Source organism: Homo sapiens, chromosome 10 (assembly GCF_000001405.40).
Source record: "Homo sapiens chromosome 10, GRCh38.p14 Primary Assembly".
Taxonomy (NCBI): domain Eukaryota; kingdom Metazoa; phylum Chordata; class Mammalia; order Primates; family Hominidae; genus Homo; species Homo sapiens.
This window is the reverse complement of record NC_000010.11, coordinates 68,013,623-68,035,229: the sequence shown is the minus strand read 5'-3', so window position 1 is coordinate 68,035,229 and position 21,607 is coordinate 68,013,623. Positions and strand designations below refer to the sequence as shown.

At 37.0% G+C, this 21,607-nt stretch overlaps 1 protein-coding gene across 23 annotated transcripts in view; it reads left to right on the top strand.

Moving 5' to 3' along the window:
* HERC4 (HECT and RLD domain containing E3 ubiquitin protein ligase 4) overlaps nt 1-21,607 on the top strand; it is a 153,379-nt gene that overhangs the window by 40,054 nt on the left and 91,718 nt on the right. For 22 of the 23 annotated variants that reach the window (XM_047424999.1, XM_017016041.3, NM_015601.4 and 19 more), the window contains 4 exons: nt 1,044-1,265; nt 2,361-2,452; nt 9,554-9,684; nt 21,044-21,204. In XM_047424999.1, the coding sequence (XP_047280955.1) occupies nt 1,044-1,265; nt 2,361-2,452; nt 9,554-9,684; nt 21,044-21,204 (606 nt within the window). The remainder of the gene's footprint in view (nt 1-1,043; nt 1,266-2,360; nt 2,453-9,553; nt 9,685-21,043; nt 21,205-21,607) is intronic. The other variant, NM_001278186.2, reaches the window with a different exon arrangement.

Genomic DNA, 21,607 nt, shown 5'->3' with positions numbered 1-21,607 from the left:
AATGAGTGAAGATTGCGCCACTGCACTCCAACCTGGGCGACAGAGCAAGACTGTCTCAAAAAAAAAAAAAAAAGAGTGGTTGTCTCTTGAAAGAGGAACCAGGATTCTGATTTTTTTGGAAGGAAGCTTACTTTTAAGTGTGTACTATTTTGTTGTTTCAACTTAAAAAAATCAGTTATTAGTGTATCAGTTATTTAGTGCAGTTGTTAGTTTAATAAAAGGATGTCTAAAGTTGCAAAATACGATGGCAATATGGGAGCAAAAGTGACAGGCAGGGAAAACTATTATAGGAATCAGTTAAGATGGTGAGGAATGGATCTATTTGCCGTATTTTTCTTTAGGAAGAAAACTGGATGTAAATTTGGTGATATATGATAGACTGGATATGTGTGAGGTTAAAAAAAAAAAGAGAGAGGAGTATTAAGGAAGACTCCCTAGGTTTATAATTTTTGCTACTGAGTCACTTAGGATGTTACTTACCAAAATGGGGAGCACTGGAAAGAGGTCCAGGGAAGTAGGATGGGGGTCATGAATTCAGTCTGGGGCATCCTAAGTTAGAAGTTCCTTTGAAATTTCCAAGTATAGTGTCAGGTAAACAATGGGTTATGTGGGTTTTTTGCTCAGGAGAGGTTTGGGCTAGTGTTAAAATTTTGAATGTGATCAGCAGATAGTTATTAAAGTTTGAGCTTGAATGAGTGCCTCTTGGGAGAAACTATAAAATAAAAATGAGACTTGAATATTAAAAGGAGACTGTTGAGGGGCATAAGGAAATGAGATTATTCCTTGTTATGTGATTCACCGGTTCATCTGTGTAGTCAATCAAACTTAAAGTGTACTAATACTGAATGTTCTTCTAGGTAGTAGTATATGTTCATATAAGAAATAAGTATAATTGCTAAAAATAATATTTATATTCTTTTGATGATAGGCAGAATGTCCCAAAATAATATTCTTTATATGAAATTTGAAATGAAATGATTATTTTCAAATTAAATTTTTTGCATGTGAGAAAAATGGTTAATTTTTCCATTACTGTTTTACAGCAAGTGAAGTCTTCTGTTGGGGACAGAATAAATATGGCCAATTGGGTTTAGGTACTGACTGTAAAAAGCAAACTTCACCGCAGCTGCTTAAGTCTTTGCTTGGAATCCCTTTCATGCAAGTTGCAGCAGGAGGAGCCCATAGTTTTGTACTCACCCTTTCTGGAGCTATCTTTGGATGGGGACGCAACAAGTTTGGTCAGCTAGGTCTTAATGATGAAAATGGTAGGTTCTCATTATGTATAGTTTAAGTGTACTTTTTGAAAGAGATGGTCTTTTGAGTTAGATCAGTGATTCTTAGTGTAAGAGAGAAATGTATCTTCCCTGGTATAGAGGTGGGGATGAGATGTTATTTAAAAATTCCATTTGGGGAATGCAGTGGGAAGATACAAAATATCCTTTATTCATTAAAGAACTATAAAAAGTATATCTGGACAAAATGTTTAGTATTGGATGTTTATTAAAAGACAATTGAAAAACATTACTTCAAATTGTTAATCCATTATTGGCCACTGTTAGTGGAAAAAAGCTGTAAAATTATTCTGGGGAAGTAACATGAAGTGTTAATCTTTGAGTTTTTCAAGGAAATATTTAAATGATTTGGGCTGTTAAATTAATCTTTGGTTGGGCTTCACTTTTAACATTGATGCTAAAGTCTTAAACATTTTGAATTTGAAAAAATTGTAACTGAAACAAGTTGGGATCTTGGAACTTATTTTTCATGATTACATTGAGTTGAATGCCAGTATTTGACTTACAAAAGCTAATTTCTTATAGTTCAGTATAATTGTAATGACTGAAATGGACAAAAGTGAGTTATTAATCTAGTAACAACTAGTAATGATAAGCAAACAATACTTTCAGAAAGAATTAAAGAATACCTTGTTTTGCATAAGAAAAATATGTCATATTAGGATATCATGTATCTTTTCTGCTACAAAACAGCCTAAAGTACATTTTTTTTTCCAGGCTTTTAAGTAGGCTCCTGTGGGTGTAACTATCATGAAGTGAATATAAAGAATGATGTATGTGTGGAAAATTAGAAGCAGTTAGATAATTTTGAAATTTCTTGATTTCTGAGTCCTTTGCATACTGGCATATTGGCTGTTTAGCACTTAACTCTTAAGTCCCTCCTTTATCACAATAGTATGGATAGGCCTGGGAACCTGACTTAGTAAGCTTGTACTACAAAATCATCGAATCATAGTTAAAATTATTTAGTCACAACTATCTACTGAGCTTGGCAAGCTGTAGAGGAAACACATCTAGATGAGTTTTGATTTTTAAAATACTATTAACATCTCTTGTTGGAATTTTCAGATAGGTATGTTCCTAATTTACTAAAGTCACTAAGATCTCAGAAAATAGTTTATATTTGTTGTGGAGAAGATCATACTGCTGCTCTAACCAAGGTATTGTACTTCTAAAACTTCTTTATTATTACTCATCATAGTTCTTTCATAATTAATGAATGTTCTCATGGTATTTTCTCAAGTTTTAACTTGAGTGTTATTGGTATTTCAAAAATAATTTATCTGGGAAAAAAGACTTAGATTATTCTTGAAAAAAATTTACCTTATTTTTCAATGTTGTTTTATGTTATTAAATGTGAATTCTGATATACTATTATATGTGATGATAGTATATTGCTGAATTTCTCAGCTTTATATGAAATACTGCTTAAGGTCATACTTTGAATAAAATTATTCCGTTTTAGTTCATTAAGCTTGCCATGATATATGCATCAAACCCATTTATATCGTGTAGCTCAGCCTAATTTGAATGTAGTTTCCATTTGGCTTATAAATACTTCATACAAGCAATAGAGGAGATGAATTTCTCTGTTATTCATAGGCCAAGTATTGTGCAAGCAGTTACAGTGATCACAGTCTTATCAATGGCTTTAACTCTGACCTCTCACTGTCTTGGGTATGTGCCAATTGAGTATCAGTACTGTTTAGTTCTTGAGTGACTAGAAGTTAGATGAAAATGAAAGCATTCAGTTAACCTTTACCAGATAATTATTTATTGCAGTCATGTTAATGTAAAGTTTTTCATTGGTCAAATTAGAAACTGGTTAAATTTCTTTATCTTTTTTGGTCTTACATAGTATATAAAATTGGTAAAAAGACATTAACGTCCGGGCACAGAGGCTCATGCCTGTAATCCCAGCACTTTGGGAGGCTGAGGCAGGTGGATCACCTGTGGTCAGGACTTCAAGACCAGCCTGGCCAACTTGGTGAAACTCTGTCTCTTCTAAAAATACGAAAGTTAGCTGGGCATGGCGGCAGGCACCTATCCCCAGCTACTCCGGAGGCTGAGGCAGGAGAATCAGTTGAACCCAGGAGGCGGAGTTTGCAGTGAGTTGAGATCACACCACTGCACTGCAGCCTGGGAGACAAAGAGTGAGACCTCGTTTCAAAAAAAAAGAGGCATTAACTTCTAATCAGGCTTTAAAATTCTACATTATATTTCTACTTGGGAATTTTAGCAGGACAATAATTATTCTTCGTTATTGTCAAATATAGTGAACTCAAGGCACTTTTAAAAATATAATGACCAATTATGAAAGTTAATTTTAAAGTATTTTGTAGTACTTGCCTTTTAGTAAGGAAGGATTATTATACCTGCCAATCTTATTATTAGGTTGGCGCAAAAGTAATTTCATTTTTTTGCCATTAATGGTAAAAACTGCAATTAATTTTGCACCAACCTAATATCATATTTTATTGATTTTGGCATTCAGATAACAAATGTAATCACTGAAGTCTTATTTATTCCTGTTGGCGAGTCTTAAATTTTACTCGTCCTTTTTCGTTATTGGTATTTGGAAGAAATTTATCAAAATATAAAAAATATCATGTGTGGTGTCATTCCAAAAACTAATTTTATGGCAGAAAGACTAACAATGTTAATGCTTTTCAAATTCAGCCTTTCAGATAACCATTCATCCTAATGTTCTAGGATAAGTAACTTTTTATGTCTATTTAGTTTTAAGAAATGCTAATTCTCTTAATCTTTTGTATTCTTCTCTCAGAAGATAGTAGCTAGTGATATTTGTTTATTGGAATTTTGGGTGTACATTATTTTTAACAAAATTAGATAGTTGTTAATATCCCCAAAGTAAAATATTTTATTTTCCCTTTATTTAAGTTAAAATACCTGTTCCATATCCATATGTCTTGCTTTTCTGGAAGAATTTCTTGGAAATAGTAAATAGATTAAGATTGCTTTATGAAGCAGTTTTCTGTACAAAACCTACCTTAGGAAAACTGCATTAGGAAAGATTTTAAAACCAACTTTTAAAAACAGAATAAATGGAAAGACATACCATGTTTATAGATATGAGGATACTTCCATAAAGATGTCACATTTTTTTCAAGTTTATTTGCAGATGTATTCTGTAAATCACATACAAATACACATTTTGATGTAGCAGTCCCACTTTTAGGAATCTACCCCAAAGATTTGAAATTGTGTGTGCACAAGACCATTTACTGTGACCTTTTAATGGCAAAAGACTAGAAGAAATCCAAATGTCCATGAGTTAAATAAATTGTGGTACATCCCTGTAATGAAGTACAGTGAAGTGTAAAACAGAATGAGGTATTTATGCTGTGGAATGATTTCTAGGATATATTGCTAAGTGAAAAGAGCAAGGTGTATGGAACAGCTTTCTGTAAGAAAGGGACCAAAATATGAACATATATCATATGCCATGTATATTTGTTTGTTTTTGTTTTTGTTTTTGGACACGGTCTCACTCTGTCACCCAGGCTGGAGTACAGTGGTGTGATCTTGGCTCACTGCAACCTCTGCCTCCCAGGTTCAAGTGATTCTCATGCCTCAGCCTCCCAAGTAGCTGGGATTATAGGCATGCACGATCACACCCGGCTATTTTTTGTATTTTTTTGTAGAGATGGGGTTTCACCCTGTTGGCCAGGGTGGTCTTGAACTCCTGACCTCAAGTGATCTGCCCGCCTCTGCCTCCCAGAATGCTGGGATTACAGGTGTGTAATCCTGCACCCGGCCTTATATGTTTTTAAAAATACAGTAAATTTAAAATTAATAGCCAGAACAAATGTGCCTTGCCTTACAATTTTTGACTTTGGAATCTAGAAACTGTTACATGTGATTAAAAAGCAAAATTATGGCTGGGCACAGTGGCTCACACCTGTAATCCCAGTGCTTTGGGAGGCCAAGGCAGGCAGATCACGAGGTCAGGAGTTCGAGACCATCCTGGCCAACGTGGTGAAACTCTGTCTCTACTAAAAATACAAAAAATTAGCCGGGCGTGGTGGCAGGCGCCTGTAATCCCAGGTAGTCGGGAGGCTGAGGCAGGAGAATCGCTTGAACCTGGGAGGTGGAGGTTGCAGTGAGCTGAGGCTGTGCCACTGTACTCCAGCCTGGTCGACAGCGAGACTCTGTCTCAAAAAAAAAAAACAAAGTGTTATATATATATGTAAAAATTATATGTAAATTATATAAATAAAAATATATATAATATATAAAAATTATATAAATATTCGTCCTTAAAAATTGAAAACTAACAAGTTAGTGGCACAACTACACCAGAAATAATTATTTTAGGTGATTTTAAAATACAGCATTTTGCTGTATATCACTAGGGGGAAATACACTAAGGATAAACTAAATCCACAAAGAAATCTTAAATTGCATTCTTTTTCTTTTTTTTTTGAGATGGAGTCTTGTTCTGTCACCCAGTCTGGAGTACAGTGGTGCGATCTCGGCCCACTGTAACGTCCACCTCTTGGGTTCAAGTGATTCTCCTGCCTCAGCCTCCTGAGTACCTGGGACTACAGGCATGCATCACCACACCTGGCTAATTTTCTGTATTTTTAGTAGAGATGGGGTTTCACCATGTTAGCCAGGCTGGTCTTGAACTCCTGACCTCAAGAAATCCATCTGCCTTGGCCTCCCAAAATGCTAGGATTATAGGCGTGAGCCACTGCGCCTGGCCCTTAAACTGCATTCTGTAACTTTTTTTTTTCTGAGATGGGGGTCTCACTCTTGCTCAAGTTGGAGTGCAGTGGCACAGTCATAGTGCACTGAAGCTATGACCGAATTCTTGGGCTTAAGCAGTCCTCCCACCTCAGTCTCCTGAGTAGCTGGAGCTACGGGCGCCACTGTGCCTGGCTAATTTTTTTATTTTTTATTTTTTGTAGAGATGGTGTCTCGCTTTATTGCCTAGGCTGGTCTGGTACTCCTGGTTTTAAGCGAGCCTCCCACCTCAGCCCCCCAAAATGCTGGAATTACAAGTGTGCATTCTGTAGTCTTACTGCTAGAAGTAAATTTGCTAATAGCAAATAAATTCCAATATATTACATATAAATAGGAGAAAGCAAAGAAGTAGTTATTTTACTGTATTATAAACTATGATTTTCAGCTTAAGAGAAAAGAGATAGATCTAAAACTATAGGAATTAAAACCTTGTGATCTTTACTTTGAATCGCAAGTGTTAGTATGAACTCATTTATTTTTCTCCAAGAATATGCTTTTTGTTTTGTTTTTGTTTTTGTTTTGCCATAACGAGTGAAAGGTCCTAGAAGTGATGAACCATGTATAATCTGGACACAATGATAATCCCTTGATTGTTGTAGATTCTCCACTAAAAGGAACCAGGGCTTCTTAGAGAAGAGTCTGATCCCATGTCTAGGGCAAAAAATATGTATAAGAATACCTTTGGGCATTTTGTGTTACAAAAAAGCAAAGATTACTACGGTGCTCTCAGAAGAACAACTTGAAGGAGCTTTCACTGGATATCGAGAAGAAATAATGACTGCAAAAAATGGAAAACATCAGATCTATAAAAAAATCCATGAATTTTTGTAGTGATCTTCTCTTCTTGCAAATCAATATAAGCAAAACTTATTGCTTACCTTTGGAAGTTGCTAGGACAACACTCATTTTTTTTTTTTTAACTGGTCAATAATGGGAAAGAATCAAGTATTCTGCCTTTCATTTGCAAATTGTATTTTAGGTAATTTAATAGTTAATGAGTTAAGTTATTTATAGAAGAATTCCAGCTCATAACGCTAGGAAAAATAATGCAACTAGAAAAATCACCATTTTACACTCCCTGATGAAATAATGGATCTAGGCAAAGACCATTAAACCTAATGGGGATGTATCAGGCTGACACACTTTGACTTATTTTTATTATATATATATATATATAATTAAAAATATAATAAATATATATATAATAAAAATATGTGATATATATATATAATTTTTTTCTTTTTGAGATGGAGTCTCACTGTGTTGCCCAGGCTGGAGTGCAGTGGTGTGATCTTGGCTCACTTCAGGCTTCCATCTCCTGGATTCAAGTGATTCTCCTGCCTCAGCCTCCCGAGTAGCTGGGATTACAGGCACACACCACTACGCCCAGCTAATTTTTGTATTTTTAGTAGAGACGAAGTGTCAGCATGTTGGCCAGGATGGCCTTGATCTCCTGTCCTCAAATGATCCACCCGCCTCAGCCTCCCAAAGTGCTGGGATTATAGGCGTGAGCCACCGTGCCCCACCCGACTTAGTTATTTTTAACTTCACTAACAAAGCAGACATATGCTTTGTGACATGATGCAATAAAATAATCAGGAAGATTTAAACATGGCCTAGTTATTAGCTGATATTAAGAAATTAGTATTGATTTTGTGAACGTGGTATAGTATGGTGGTTATATACTTTTGTCGGTTACAGATATATGCTGTTGAAGATACACATTTGTGGGTGAAATGATTTGATGACCACAATTTGCTTTAAAGTACTCAAGTTCTTTTTGTTTTGTTTGAAAATACCCCCAAAAGGGAAAGGGAGACACCAGTGAAACAAAATAACCAACCTTTTGCCAGTTATTGAAACTGAGTGATGGTTATATGGTGATTTACTATATTTTCTCTTTACCTTGTGTATTTGCTTGAAATTTTCTGTGATAAAAAAAGAAAAATGAATGTTCTCATATAACAGTATGTAGTAACGCTATTAAATGATGAAAGCAGGATATAAAGTTGCATATATAGCTACAGTTATGAAGAAAAGCAGTTGAACTGAAGAATACTAATTGTGATTGTGTTATCACAGATTTTTTCCAATACAGAACTTCTAATTTAGTTATAATTTAGTTATTTAATTAGTTATATATTATATGTTTTTTTGTTTGTTTGTTTTGTGACAGAGTCTCGCTTTGTTGCCCAGGTTGGAGTGCAGTGGTATGATCTCGGCCCATGGCAAGCTGTGCCTCCTGGGTTCAAGCGATTCTGCCTCAGCGTCCAAAGTAGATGGAACTACAGGCACCCACTACCATGCCTAACTAATTTTTTTTTTTTGAGACGGAGTCTTTCTGTCGCCCAGGCTGGAGTGCAGTGGCGTGATCTCGGCTCACTGCAACCTCTGCCTCCCGGGTTCAGGCAATTCTCCTGCCTCAGCCTCCCAAGTAGCTGGGACTCCAGGTCTGTGCCACCATGCCTGGCTATTTTTTTGCATTTTTAGTAGTGACAGGGTTTCACCTTTTTAGCCAGGATGGTCTCGATCTCCTGACCTCGTGATCCACCTGCCTCGGCCTCCCAAAGTGCTGGGATTACAGGCGTGAGCCACCACATCTGGCCCTAATTTTTGTGTTTTAAGTAGAGACAGAGTTTCACCATGTTGGCCAGGCTAGTCTCAAACTCTTGAGCTCAAGTGATCCACCTGCTTCAGTTATATGTTTTTATAGGGAGTTTTTTTTAAAAACATCTGTATATTATAGCAGCTGTATGCTAAAAATTTCTATAAGGCCATGCATGGTGGCTCATGCCTGTAATCCCAGCACTTCGGGAAGCCAAGGCAAGAGGATTGCTTGAGCCCAGGAGTTCGAGACCAGCCTGGGCAATACAGGAAAACCCCATCTCTACAAAAAAGTAAAAAATTAGCCAGATGTGGTGGTGCATGCCTGCACTCCCAGCTACTTAGGAGGCTGAGGTGGGAGGATCACCTGAGCCCACGAGGTTGAGGCTGCAGTGAGCCATGATCATGCCACGGCACTCAAGCCTGGGTGATAGAGCAAGACCCTGTCTGAAAAAATTAATAAGTAAATAAAAATTGCTCTATTTATGCACTCTGGTTACATGTACTCTTTTTGCAGCGCATTTATGTAAGGCAGTAACTACCTTGAAAAGTGAAGATGATACCGTTTTTAGGTTTCGTGAAATTATATATATGTATGTGGAATTCAGCAAGACAGTATAATGATAATGAAAGGCAATGCAAATAAATAATTATTTGTATCTCTTCAGTGTCTAAATATTTTATAACGGTGAAAACATCATTACCTGGAATTCTCATAGTTTTATGACATTTTACTTTGAAAGAGCCATCTGTCTGTTAAATTGTGAAGACAGTTCTTAGAAGAGAAAAAACTGAGTTTATATTAAAGATTTGGACTTATTTTTCTGGAGATCAGTTATTTTCTTTTATCATGCCTTCTAATGATAAGGGGTTTTGTCTTTTTTTAGGAAGGTGGAGTGTTTACTTTTGGAGCTGGAGGGTATGGTCAGTTGGGCCATAATTCTACCAGTCATGAAATAAACCCAAGGAAAGTTTTTGAACTTATGGGAAGCATTGTCACTGAGATTGCTTGTGGACGGTAAGGTGTTATGTAAAAGAGCATTTTGGTCTCTAAACTGCAGTTGTTTAGGGATTGCTTATTGAATTGTTTCAGAGATCCTAATAATCTGAGGAAACACATTCTGCCCCCAAATACCTATTTTGCCACTGAGGAGTCATAGTAACAGGAGAAACATCTTTTTTACTGTTATTTTATTTATTTTTACTTGAACAGATTTAGCTGAGGCAAGATGTTAATAGTGTATATGTAATATTATATTTATTGTAGTTGATATCACACTCGAAAGGCTTCTTTCTTTCTCTTTTCCACCTTTTTTTCTTTTCTTTTCTTTCCTTTTTGGGGTGATAGAGTCTTGCTCTGTCACCCAGTCTGGAGTACCACAATTATGGCTTATTGCAGCCTCAATCTCCTGGGCTCAAGTGATCCTCTTGCCTCAGGCTTTTGAGTAGCTGGGACTGCAGGCATGCACTACCATGCCCAGCTAATTTTATTTTTTTAATTTTTAGTAGCAACAAGGTCTCATTATGTTGCCCAGGCTTACCTTTTTTCCTTAAAGGGTGAAGAGATCGACCAGTTAATTAAGACAGAATTAATGTGATGAAAGTTTGATTGGCATAATTAAACCAATAATCTCCTAATTCTCCTTATTCTGAGTTCTTGGGAGTAAACAGAAGAGTCTTTGACATTGAGCTTCATCTGTTGATTCTTAGGTCTTGGGAATAAATAGAAGAGTCTTTGAGTTGAGCTTCATCTTTGGGGGAATTAAATTGAGCAGACTCCCAAGTAGCAAAATGTACCTTTTTTGACCACATAACTTAATTTTGATCACCTTGCTTAATGTTTTTCTACCTTGTATGTATAGCTATACAATAGTTTAGTTTTATCAACTATTAGCTTCAAATGCATGTAATCACACTGTAAGTATTCTTTGGTGATTCTTTTTTTCCTCTTAACATCAGACTTTTATGATTTTTATGTAGTTATGGTTCTCCATCATTAGGCCTCATTAATGTTTTTTATTCAATTTTATACATATATAATATACTCATTCTATTGCTGATGGACATTTGCATGTTGCCAGTTTTGGCAATTATGAATAATGTTGCTTTGCACTTTTATTATATGGTATATGTTAACCTTCATATATACCCAGAATGGAATTACTGGGTTATAGAGGACACTTAATTTGAATTTTGTAGGTTAAACCATATTTCCCATGTGGTTTTACCAGTTTGTATTCCCATTAGCAGTGTATGAGAATTCCTGATGCTCTTGTACTTATCACCAGTTAGTATTGTCAGACTTTTTGCTAATTTCTTGGATATTTATTGTTATTTCATAATTTGAATATACATTTCCATGACTTACTTGAGTACCTTTTCATATGTTTATTGGCCACTTACATTTCCTCAGGATATAAAAATTGATTCATAGTAGTTATTTATATAGTGTAGATACAAGTTCATAATGTTTCTCAATACAGGGATAAAAGTTCTTTATTGGGCATATGTTTTACAGATGTCTTTCCATGTTTTGCCTTACCTTGTCATTTTCATTCTGTTGTCTTTCAATGAACAGAAGTTTTAGATATTAATGTAGATGAATTTATTAATATTTTACTTAATAGTGCCATTTATTTTCTAAGAAATATTTTCCTACCTGAAGGCATAAAAGTAATCATCTCTGTTATCTTCAAAAACATAGTGTTGCCTTTTACATGGAGGTCTGTAAGTTATCTGAAGTTGATTTATTTTGTGGAGGACAGTATAATGTTCAAGTAAGGAATCAACTTTTTAAAAATATAAATAGTCAATTACCCTAGCACCATTAAAAGTTTTTGTGGGAAATACATACAACAAAATTTACCACCTTAACTATTTTTAAGTATACAGTCCATGGTATTAAGTACATTAATATTGTTGTGAAACCATCATCACCATTCATCTCTAGAATTCTTTTTATCTTGCAAAACTGAAGCTCTATACCCATTAAACAATGACTCCCTATTCTCCATACTCTCTTGTGGCAACCACCATTCTACTTCCTGTCTCTGTGAATTTAACTCCTGTAGGTATCTCATATAGGTAGACTCTTACAGTGTTTGTCTTTTGGTGACTGACTTATCTCACTCAGCGTAGTGTCATCAAGGTTCACCCATGTTGTAGAATTTCCTTCTATATATGTCAGAATTTCCTCCCTTTAAAAGGCTGAACAGCATTCCATTGTGTGTATATGCTAATTTTGCTTGTGCATTCATCTTTTGATGGACACTTGGGTTACTTTTGTGTTTTATCTTATTGTGAATATTGTTGCTATGAACATGAATATAAAAACATCCCTTCAGGACCCCACTTTCAGTTCTTTTGGGCATATACCCAGAAGTGGAATTGGTGGTTCATATGGCAATTCTGTTTTTAATTTTTGTAGGAACTGCCATACTGTTTCTCATAGTAACTGCCCTGTTTTATATTTCCACCAAAAGTGTACAGGGTTTCAGTTTCTCTACATCCTCACCAACACTGTTATTTTCTCATTTTGCCTTTTTCTTTTTTTTTTTATAATACCTATTTTAATACGTGTAACATGTTATCTCCTGTGGTTTTGATTTGCATTTTCCCAATGATTAGTGAGCTGAGCATATTTTTATATACTTGTTGACCATTTGTACATCTTTAGGAGAAATGTCAATTAAAGTGTTTTTCCCATTTTTGAATCTGGCTGTTTTGTTGTTGTTGAGTTTTCAGAGTTCTCTATATATTCTAGATACTAATCCCTTATCAGATATTTGCAGATATTTTCTTTCATTCTGTGGGTTGTATTCTATAGATAGTGTCTTTTGATGCATGAAGCTTTAAAATTGTATAAAGTCCAGTTTGTTTATTTTTTCTTTTGTTGGCTATGCATTTGGTGTCATATCTAAGAAATCATTGCCAAATCCAATGTCATGAAGCATTTCCCTGTTTGCTTCTTAGAGTTTTATAGTTTTACCTTTTACATTTAGGTCTTTGATCTATTTGAATTTTATTTATTTATTTATTTATTTATTTATTTATTTATTTATTTTGAGATGGAGTTTTGCTCTTGTTGCTCAGGCTGGAATGCAATGGCATGATCTTGGCTCACTGCAACCTCTGCCTCCCGGGACCAAGCGATTCTCCTGCCTCAGTTTCCCAAGTGACTGGGATTACAGGCATGCGCCACCTTGCCCGACTAATTTTGTGTTTTTAGTAGAGATGGGGTTTCTCCATGTTGGTCAGGCTGGTCTCGAACTCCCGACCTCAGTTGATCCGCCCACCTCGGCCTCCCAAAGTGTTGGGATTACAGGCGTGAGCCCCCACACCTGGCCGAGTCTGTACATTCTTTTGGGTAGCATTGACATCTTAACAATTTGTCTTCCAGTCCATGACCATGCTGTTTCTTTCCATTTATTTGTCTCTAATGTCTTTCCACCAGTATTTTTTAGTTTTATTTTACAAATCTTTTGCCTTCTTGTTAATTCCTAAGAATTTTATTCTTTATGATAGGTTTTAAATAAAATTTTATTTCCTTCCAAATTGTTCATTGTTAATGTATAGAAATTCAGCTAATTTTTGTGTGTAGATTTTGTATCCTCCTGCTTTGCAAAGTTTATTAGTTTTAACAATTTTTGTGTGGAATCTTTAGTGTGTTCTACATATATGATCATATCATCTGCATACAGAGATTTTTTTTTTCTTTCCAATTTGAATGAATGCCTTTTATTTATTTATTTATTTGAGGTGGAGTTTTGCTCTTGTTGCCCAGGCTGGAGTGCAATGGCGTGATCTCGGCTCACCGCAACCTCTGCCTCCTGGGTTCAGGCGATTCTCCTGCCTCAGCCTCCCAAGTAGCTGGGATTACAGGCATGTGCCACCACACCCGACTAATTTTGTATTTTTAGTAGAGATGGGGTTTCTACATGTTGGTCAGGCTGGTCTTGAACTCCTGACCACTGGTGATCTGCCCACCTTGGCCTCCCAAAGTGCTGGGATTACAGGCATGAGCCACTGCACGCAGCATTTTATTTCTTATTCTTGCAAAATTGCTCTGGCTAGAACTTCCAAGATTATGTTGAATAGAAGTGGTGAAAGCAGGCATCCTTATTCCTGATCTTACAGGAAAAGCAAGTGCTTTTTCTGCATCAATTCAGATGATTGTGTGTGTCTTTTCCTCCTTCAATCTGTTAATTTGATATATTACATTGATTACATATATTAATTTTCATATGTTGAACCAGGTTTGCATTCTAGGAATAACTCTCACTTGGTCGTGGTCATAGTATGTAACCCTTTTAGTGTGCTGCTGAATTCAGTTCTTAAGTATTTTATTGAGAATCCTTTGTGTATGACAACCTGCTTCTTTCATGCTGCTTTCAAGATTCTTTGTCTTTCAGCATTTTGATTGAACTGTGTGTCTCTGGTCTCTGAGTTTATCCTGCGTAGAATTCATTGGGGCTTATGGATGTTTAGATTCATGTCTTTCCCCATATTTGGGAGTTTTTGGCTATTACTTCTTCAAATAGTCTCTCTCTTGCTCTATTCTTCTGAGAATTCTACAGTGCTTATGTTGGTCTGCTTAATGGTATCCTATGGTTCCCCTAGGCTCTCTGCACTTTTTTTAAGATTTTCTGTTCCACAGACTCAATAATTGCAACTGTCCTATCTTTACGTTTGCTGATTTTTCTTCTGCTTGCTGAAATCTGCCTTCAAATCTCTCTAGTGTATTTTTTATTTCAGGTATTGTACTTTCCAACTCCAAACTTTTTTTTTTTTTTTTTGAGACGGAGTCTCGCTCTGTCGCCCAGGCTGGAGTGCAGTGGCGCGATCTCAGCTCATTGCAAGCTCCGCCTCCCGGGTTCACGCCATTCTCCTGCCTCAGCCTCCCAAGTAGCTGGGACTACAGGCGCCCGCCACTACGCCCGGCTAATTTTTTGTATTTTTAGTAGAGACGGGGTTTCACCGTTTTTTTAGCCGGGGTGGTCTCGATCTCCTGACCTCGTGATCTGCCCGCCTCGGCCTCCCAAAGTGCTGGGATTACAGGCGTGAGCCACCGCGCCCGGCCCAAACTTTTTTTTTAGTTTTTCTTTTTGATTGATATTTCCGTTTTGTTCATACATTTTTTTTTTCTTTTTACACGTCTTACTCTAGTTCTTTGAGCATCTTTAGGATGTTTGATTTAGTCTTTGTCTTTTAGGTCTGCCATTTGACCTTTCTCAGGGATAGTTTCTATTGTTGGCTTATATTTTCTTTGAATGGGCCACCCTTTCCTACTACTTTGTATGTCTTGTGATGTTTTTTGAAAACTGGACATTTAATAATATGGTAACTGGAAATCAGATTCTCCCCCTTTGCCAGAGTTTGCTGATTTTTGGTTTTTGATCATTGTAGGTTTTATCTGTGTCAGGAGTCACCCTGAGGTATAAAAATGAGGTCTTTTCTTAGCCTATACCTTTCCCTGCTAATGCACAGTGACATTCTAAATTCACCCATAAATGTGGTTGCTTTTTAATGTTGTAGACCTTAAATGCCTGGCTCCCCAAAGAAACAAGGAAAAAATGAAAGGTGGGGGTGGAAGGAGAGTAGAAGAAAAAAAGAGAAAGGCATCAGCCCTTTGAATTCCTTGGAAGTCTCTTTAGCCAGAATGGGAGAGTATACAACAGTGATTGCCTGCCTTTCTGCACCTTGGTGATCAGAAGCACCAATCATTGATCAGGGCACCAGTTCCTAAAACAGACAAAGTCGTTATTGCCCACCCTGGCTTCTACAAGTTGCATACAGGCTGCTCCTGGAAGCTGTTCATGGCTGCATTACACAGGAGTAAGGAGTGGGTAACTGCTACCATGCTAAGATCCGAAGTTGAAATTAACCAGAATTTGCCATCCAACTCTTCTCTTGGAAATAACAAACCGTGCATAGACTCCAGAGTTGCAGAATGGTTCTCTCAGACAGATTCTGTCAGTGTAATTGTTGTCTAGGTGGGAAACAGATTCTCGGTGCTTCTTATTCCACGATTTTCCAAGAATCCCCCTGTCTAGCTCCATTTTTGAAAATTCTTCACCCTCCTACTGTATGGTGTCACTGTTGCCATAAGCTGTTGTATGTACATGGATCTCTTTCTGTGATCTCTAATTTTTCAATCTATATGCCTGCCCCTGTGCCACTAAACACTATATAGACACCATAATAACTTCTTCTATTTGGGGTAAAGTGACTCCTTGTTATTCTTCTGTTCTTTAAGAATGCTTTGGCTGGACCGGGCGCAGTGGCTCACGCCTGTAATCTCAGCACTTTGGGAGGCCGAGGCGGGTGGATCACCTGAGGTCGGGAGTTTGAGACCAGCCTGACCAACATGGTGAAACCCTGTCTCTACTAAAAATACAAAATTAGTCGGGCGTGGTGGCACATGCCTGTAATCCCAGCTACTTGGGAGGCTGAGGCAGGAGAATTGCTTGAACCCAGGAGGCGGAGGTTGCAGTGAGCCGAGATCGCACCATTGCACTCCAGCCTGGGCAACAAGAGTGAAACTCCATCTCAAAAAAAAAAAAAAAAAAAAGAAAGAATGCTTTGGCTGATGATGACCTTTATTACTTTCATATAAATTTTAGCATAGGTTGTGAAGTTCTCTCAAAAAAAAAAAAAAAAAAAAGCCTTGTGGGGTTTTGATTGGTAGTGCATTGAATCTCTAGGTTAATTTGGGGAAAAGTTGTTATCTTTGTAATATTAACTTTTCTAATAATCAACATCCAGACTTCTTTAATGTCTTATAATAAAATGTTTTAAAATTTTCATCATAGAGGTCATGCATATCTCTTCGTAGTTCCATTCCTAGGTGCGTCTTTAATGGTATTATATTTTTATTTCCACTTTCTGAGGAATCACTGGCATGTAGAAATAGTTGATATTTACATATTGATTTTAAATACAACCACCTTGCTAAACTCTTATTAATAACTTACTCATGTACGTAGTCATACCATCTGTGAGTCAATTCAGTTTTGTTATTTCTATTATTTATACTTAACGTGTTTATATAATTGTTTTAATGTGCTGTTTAGGACACCATTATAATGTTTACTGTAACATAATGTTTCCTTTCTGTGGGAAAACTTTCAGTATTTCATAGTTAAGTATCATGTTTGCTGTTAAGATTTTTATAGATAACCTCTATCAGACTAAGTAATTTCCCTTTAATTCCTAGTTTTTTTTATTGTGAATGGATGTTAAGTTTTTAATGTTGTTTTTTCTGTATTTATTGAAATGATTTATGATTTTTTTTTCCTTTAATCTGTTAACATGGCATATTGATGGATTTTTTTTTTCTAGTTAACAGCTTTGTGTTTCTGGAATAACTTCAGTTTGGTCAAGTATTATCCTTTTTGTTTGGTGCTGGGTTTGATTTGTGAATATTCTGTTGACTCTTACTTATATTTCTGTTTATCAGTGAACTTGATCTATAATTTTTTTCTTATTATTCTTTTCACCAGGTTTTATTATGAAGGTTTTCTAGTCTGATAAAATAACATTGAGGAATGTACCTTTGTTTTCTAATTTTTGGAAATAGAACAGCTTGAAATGTTGGCACAACTTGTCATTAAAACCATTTGTGCCTGGCATTTTATTTTTTGGAATTTAAAAAACATTCTTCAATTTCTTTAGTGGCTATGAGATAGCTTTTATTATTTCTTGAGTCAGTTATGTGAATGTTAATTTTTTTCTAATAATTTTTTCATTTTGCCTAATTTTAGACTTATTGACATAGGCCGGGCGTGGTGGCTCATGCCTGTAATCCCAGCACTTTGGGAGGCCGAGGCAGACTGATCACCTGAGGTCAGGGGTTCATGACCAGCCTGGCCAACATGGCAAAAAAACCCATCTCTACTAAAAATACAAAAATTAGCTAGGTGTGGTGGCATGCACCTGTAATCCCAGCTTCTGGGGAGGCTGATGAGACAGGAGAATCACTTGATCCCAGGAGGCAGAGGTTGCAGTGAGCTGAGATTGCACCACTGCACTCCAGCCTGGGCAACAGAGCGAAAACTCTGTCTCAAAAAAATAAATAAATAAACTTATTTACATAAAATTTATAATGTCTGTATTGGTCTCTTGTGCACAAACAACATGTCAGTGACATATAATAGTAAATGTTTATTTGTTTCTCTGTGGTTCAGTAAAGCCAGGCCTTTGGCTATCTGGAGCAGCTTTTATTTAGGCTAGAGATTGACTGGGGCAGTTCTGTTTCAGGCTGCCTATTCACTGGGGTGACTTTGCTCAGGCTGTGTTTCAGCTAGGGTGGCTTTGTTACATATCTCGTTCTTGGGACTATACCAGAGGAGCAGTGGGCTGCCTCTGGGTATTCTTCTGATGGAGACAAATACACAAGAAGGCAAACTCAACTGTACATTCCATTTCAAGCCTTCTGCTTGCATCACATTCACTGAAATCTCGTTGACCAAAAGCAAACTATATGGCCAAACCTAAAGTTAAGGTATGGGGAATATAATATACAGCCCAACCACCATCAGGCTATGATGGGAATATGCATGCTTAATACTACAGGGTGGTGAATTTAAATCATTTTGGGTGACATACTCTATTAGTCCTTTGTGAAGTATCACAAATGATTTAATGTTATCCAGTTTTGTAATTCTTAGTAGCCAAAATGTACATGATTTGAATGGTTATTCTTAGCTCTGTAATACATGATTTGAATAGTTATTCTTAGCTCTGTAAACCAGTTCTTTTCAGCAGTTTTATTCATGTAACTGTTGGATCGGGGGTAAAATTTCGACTATTGAGTGAGATCTAAGGACTTAACCTAAACAGGAAGTGTAAGTAGGTATCTGGTATTTTGATCAGTTTGACTTCCAGGTAGTCAGTACTATAAGACATCTTATTGGGCCGGGTGCAGTGGCTCAAGCCTGTAATCCCAGCACTTTGGGAGGCCAGGGCGGGCAGATCACAAGGTCAAGAGATCAAGACCATCCTGACCAACATGGTGAAACCCCATCTCTACTAAAAATACAAAAATTAGCTGGGCATGGTGGCACATGCCTGTAGTCCCAGCCACTTGGGAGGCTGAGGCAGGAGACTCGCTTGAATCCGGGAGGCGGAGGTTGCAGTGAGCCAAGATCACGCCACTGCACTCCAGCCTGGCAACAGAGTGAGACTCCATCTCAAAAATAATAAAATTTTTAAAAAAGAAATATGTATTATTATTTCCTTATTCAATAATTGTCAAAAACCTCCTGAATGAAGCAGTCAGGATTACCAAAATGTCAGTTCATCAATAGACGATCCAAAAGAAAAAGGTTTACATTCCAGTAGTATAATGAAGTGCTTTCGAGCTCTTACATCAAATCTAGAGCTTAAGGTAGTTCTGTTCATGCAGTGGCTCTGAACCCCACTTTATACTATAATCACACACACATATATACATATATTTTTGAGACTGAGTCTTGCTCTGTTGCCCAGGCTGGAGTGTGGTGGCAGAATCTTGGCTCACTGCAACCTCTGCCTTCCAGGTTCAAGTGATCCTCCTGCCTCAGCCTCCTGAGTAGCTGGGACTACAGGCGCATGCCACCGTGCCCAGCTAATTTTTGTATTTTTAATAGAGACAGGGTTTTGCCATGTTTGCCATGCTGGTCTCGAACTCCTGACCTCAAGTGATCCACCTGCCTCGGTCTCCCAAAGTGCTGGAATTATAGGCCTGAGCCACCATGCCTGGCCAAAATATATATTTTTACCTAGATTCACCCCAAGATGATTCAAATATGCAGCCAGGGTTAAGAACCAGTGCTTTATTAGTCCAGTGTGAGGAGGAGTTTTAATAAAATAGTATTGCAGTAATTTTCAAACTATTAATACATTCCTTTGAGATGGCTGCTTCCTGAGGGAGGGTAGTAATCTAGCAGACTAGCTAACTTGAAAACTCTTGAATCAAAACCCCTTTAAAATAGCATGTGTGAGTTTGCCAGGTTGTAAAGAGAACTCCACCTGGCAAAAACAAAAGAAATTTGAAAACCAAAGGTGTTAGTTTGAATTGACTTTGGAGCTACCCTGAAAGAATTTGCCAATCTGGGTAATGTATTAGTTAGCTTATGTCGCTAAACAGAACGACTCCAAAACCTAGTGACCTAAAATAATTATTTAGCTAATAGTTCTTTGTTTTAGTAATTTTGGCCGGGCTTAACTGGGCTGCTCTCATCTTAGCTGACTTAGATGATCAGTTGATGATCTGGCTAGGAGCTGGAAGTCTAGGATGGCCTCAGCTGGGACAGTTTGTCTGTTCCAGATTGTAGATCATCCTTTAGCTGCTAACCTTGGTTTATTCTTACGATGGTAGAGCAGAATTCCTAAAGATAGTTAGGGAAAGAGTGTATAAAGCCACTTGTGAGGCAAAGGCTCGGAACTGAGACACTGTTGTTTCTGCTGGCCAAAGCAAGCTATAGATTAGGACTTGGATTTAAGACATGGAGAAAGAGATTTCCAGTCTTGCTGGGAACAACTGTAATAGTCATATTGCATAAGATATGGGTATGGTTAGAGGGATAATTTCAGCCACTTTTATAAACAATATGCCACAAATGGCAAAGAGGTTTAGGGCAAGAGACAAGATCTAAGACCTGATAGAAACAAGGGTGAGACCTGGAGATGCCATGTCCCCTCAGTAAAACCATCTCATGGATAGGGTACACAATGAAATACTTCCCTGCTTGCCTAAGGAGACTTTTTCTGAGGAGTTGGATAGGTTTACTGAGAGTGGATTGGTGGGTCATCCTTAGCTTCAGATCTGTGGTTTCTTAGGTTTGCTTTCACTGTAGTACCTCCAGAGGAGTTTTGGTGCGTACATATAGAGATTACTTTCCTCAGAAGAAAGGAAACATTGTTTCTGTCATGCATAAGTGTATATAACAATCTTCTGATTGGTACTAGATTACTTCCCATTTCTTAGCCTAAAACTTCTCGGTGATACCCAAGTGGAGGACTTTCATAGACCACAGCTCTGGACTAGAACTTGACAAGGGGAGTAGTGGGGACTTCCTTGAACAGCATAGGTAGATGCTACTCTGGTGCTGAATCGTTTATTGTAAGGGATTTCAGTATAGACCCAGGCTGTTTAAAATTTAAACATTAGTGGAAATTTTCTGGACCATGCTCGTGCAGCCTGTCTATGTGATGCAGAATTCATTCTATAGATTAAGTCTGTTAATGAATATTTGTACAGAAGCTTTGGAACTACAATTGGTTTTATTAATTTTTTGAAAAGAAAAATTACCTCTTTTGATATTTTCTCTGCTTTTGTCATTGTAAATTGTTGGAAGGTAACATTAAGTCTGAAGTTTTCTATCATTTTACTCTAGGCAGCACACTTCTGCTTTTGTTCCTTCATCAGGACGAATTTACTCTTTTGGGCTTGGTGGTAATGGGCAGCTGGGAACCGGTTCAACAAGCAACAGGAAAAGCCCCTTTACTGTAAAAGGAAATTGGTACCCCTATAATGGGCAGTGTCTACCAGATATTGGTAAGTTCTGTCATATTAAAGCTTTCCTTCATATATTGAAGTTCTTGTTAAAATGTTGCTCTTAAATCATGAAGATTTCTGCGAAAGAATTCCAAGATACATTGTTAAGTGAAAACAGCAAAATATAGAACAATGTATATGGTTGTTTGATTTGCTTATATTTACTTGTAAATGCATAAGGAAATTCTGGATAAGTAAAAGTTACTTACAGAGAGTGGGTCATATGGGAACTAGAAGATGGCTACATACCAGTGGGAGGGAGGTTTTTTGTTTTCTATTTTAAATTGTGGTAAAATATACACAACATAAAATTTACAGACGTAACCATTTTTTAAGTAGCATTAAGCATATTCACGTTATTATGTAACCAATCTCCAGAACTCTTTTCATCTTGAGGATACTA